This window comes from Homo sapiens, chromosome 10 (assembly GCF_000001405.40).
Source record: "Homo sapiens chromosome 10, GRCh38.p14 Primary Assembly".
Classification (NCBI taxonomy): Eukaryota; Metazoa; Chordata; class Mammalia; order Primates; family Hominidae; genus Homo; species Homo sapiens.
In genome coordinates this window covers 5,635,609-5,638,866 of record NC_000010.11, presented here as the reverse complement: position 1 = coordinate 5,638,866, position 3,258 = coordinate 5,635,609, and positions in this window count along the sequence as shown.

Genomic DNA, 3,258 nt, shown 5'->3' with positions numbered 1-3,258 from the left:
TCCCTGTGTTCACACGACTCTTTTCTTATGGGGCAGAAACACCAAGATGGGCGCATCCTGTGTGGATGGAGAGGGGTGGCTCTCGTCTTGCTGTGTCCCAGGTCGTTTGGCAGCGCTGTGCTTGCCAGGGAGCCACACTTTCCCATCTCTTCCCCAGGTCTCCTGATGCCAACTTCAGCACCCCCCTTATGTGGACTTTTCTTGGGGGAGACAGACGCTGTCCACGGGACCAGGTGACTGGGATTTTGGGTCCTCCCCTGCCCTTATGCAGGGCTGTGACTGCACACAGGTTTATCTGCTTCTCTACTCTGAGTTGTTCCGGAAAGCTGCAAAACCGAGATAATGGATCAGACTTGGAGCATTGAAGGGGTCTTGATGACCAACCACTGAGCCAAGCCCGTCACCTCAGGTGGACGAGATTGGGTCCCCAGCGTCAGGTTTTGTGTTTTTTTTTTTTTTTTTTGAGGTGGAGTCTCGCTCTGTCGCCCAGGCTGTAGTGCAGTGGCACGATCTCGGCTCACTGCAAGCTCCGTCTCCTGGGTTCACGCCATTCTCCTGCCTCAGCCTCCTGAGTAGCTAGGACTACAGGCACCCGCCACCACACCCGGCTAATTTTTTTTTTTGGTATTTTTAGTACAGACGAGGCTTCACCATGTTAGCAAGGATGGTCTCGATCTCCTGACCTCGTGATCCTCCTGCCTCGGCCTCCCAAAGTGCTGGGTTTACAGGTGTGAGCCACTGCGCCCGGCCGCCTCAGGTTTTTATGAGGCTGAAATTAAATGATTGAAAGATGCCTTGGCTGGGTGGGGTGGCTTATGTCTATAATCCTAGCACTTTGGGGAGCCAAGGTGGGCAGATCACTTGGGCCAGGAGTTTGAGACTAGCCTGGCCAAGATGTTGAAACCCTGTCTCTACTGAAAATACAAAAATAAGCCAGCTGTGGTGGTGTATGGTTGTAATCCCAGCTAGTCAGCAGGCCGAAGCAGGAGAATCGCTTGAACTTGGAAACGGAGGTTGCAGTGAGCCAAGATCGTGCCACTGCACTCCAGCCTGGGAGACAGAGTGAGACTCTGTCCCCACAAAAAAGAAAAAAAAAAGATGCCTTGAAAAGCCTAAAGTGGTCCCCAAATATGAAAGTTACATTGACTGTTGTGTGGTTTTGTTGATGTTTGTAGATCTTGCAGCTGTGTGAACTATTCCCGCCTTAAGATCATACCATCTATTTCAGGAGTCCTGCAGTCATAAGACTTCTCAGTTTACATTTTCAAATGCAGTGTGCAGTGGACAGATTTGGAGCAGATGTTTGCAACATATATAACAAGTAATTGGCAAGCAAAATATATAAAGATCTTATGATAGATCATTAAAATGGGCCAGGTGCTGTGGCTTATGCCTGTCATCCCAGCACTTTGGGAGGCTGAGGCTGGAGGATTGAGCTTAGGAGTTTGAGACAAGCTTGGGCAGCCTAAAGAGACCCCATTTCTACAAAAAAGAAAAGATAAACAACCCAATAGAAAAAAACTGGGCAAAGAATAAGAACAGGGCTTTATAAAAGAGGGATCTTGAAATGTCCACTCCCAGGAAAGGATGCTGAGAAGTGATCAGGGAAATTCAAATTAATATTTAATTCAACAAAGTGATTACCATTGAATGTCGCCATTGAGACAGTCATTGAAAGGTCTGAGTTTCACAGTGTGGATGGGTGGGCCATGTGGGCAAATGGAAATGCACAGGCTGCTAGTGGGGAATACATTGATGATAGGTCTGTTTTGGAGAGCTATTGGCTGATATTAATGCAATGAAAAATGTGCATACCCCTTGTCCCCAGTAATTCTACTTTATATAAATAATACCCTAAAGAAACTCTCAGGCAATATCACAAGGAGACATGTATGAGGTTGTTTACTGCAGCGATACCTGTAATAGTGAAAACCCCACCAGTTGGGAGTAAGATGTAGAATATCATATACATCTTACATGTCATACCTACACTCGATAAAAGTTAAGATGGATTAGAACTACACGTTTTAACACGAATAGATCTCAAAAATATAGTGGTCGATCAAACAATTGCCAGACTTTTCTGTGTATGGTATGAGTCAATTTGTATAATTTTTTTAAAAAGCCCATCTAATAATTCATACGTATGCAGTAAATACATAAAATCATGGAAACCACACACTGGCATCATGGGGATACCAGTGGCTTGGGGATAGGAACGCAGGGAACTTCACCTCTGTTGTATTGCATTTCTTAAAAAGTGATGTTGGCCAGGAAGAGTGGCTCACGCCTGTAATCCCAGCACTTTGGGAGGCTGAGGCGGGAGGATTGCTTGAGCTCAGAAGTTCGAGACCAGCCTCGGCAACATAGTGAGACCCTATCTCTAAAAAAAAAAAAAAAAAAAAAAAGATACGAAGCACATGATAGAATGCTACTATTTGCTCATGTTGGGGGGCAAATAGAAACATGGGGTTACTCTCCATGTGTTTTGATGTTTGATTTTTTCATAATAAAAATTGAATGCATAGAGGAACAACGAAGGGCAAAAAAACCAAAAAATTAGAAACTCGGTTGTGCTTACAAACACCTTTCAGATTCCTGTTGGCCACAACGGCATGGTTTTGGTTATAGGAGCTTGTATTCCACAGTGGGTGTTGACACTTTTTTTGGAACTACTCTCAGACAAACTAGGTATGCAAAGCCCTGTGTCCTGAGGTTTGTCTCACAGAGCCGACCCTCATCTCCTCTGTAGGAAAGTGCTGGGTAAAATGCCTCTCACTGATTGGCCTCGCTGCGCTGGTATGGCTCCCTCCCTGGACAATGGTGCGTCTTCTAGGTCTGGCTCTGGGCAAAGTCCCTGGTATCAAACCCTCCCCTTTGGAGAGGTCATAATTGAGGGGCCATTTCACAGTAAGAAAATGCAGCTGCACCCTCTGTCCCCAGCCCGTGGAGGCGGGGTGCTGCCCACCTTCTGCAGGTGGGAGGCGTCGTGAGGGAGACAGCAAGAGACCCCAGTGGGATCCCCAGTGGGATCTCTTGCTCAGCTCTGGGCTCCCCGTGGTCTTCCAGGGAGGGAGTGGAATCTCGTCTACTCCTGGACCATAGCAATGCTCCCTGTGGTATCCCATCTGTGCTACCAGGTGAGTCTGCAGAGAGCTCTGAAGTCATTTGGGATGAAAAGAATGCCTTTCCCTGTCCATTTCATGCCCTGGGCCACTTTGTTAAACTGCTTGTGCTTTCTCTCCAGTGGGCAACACC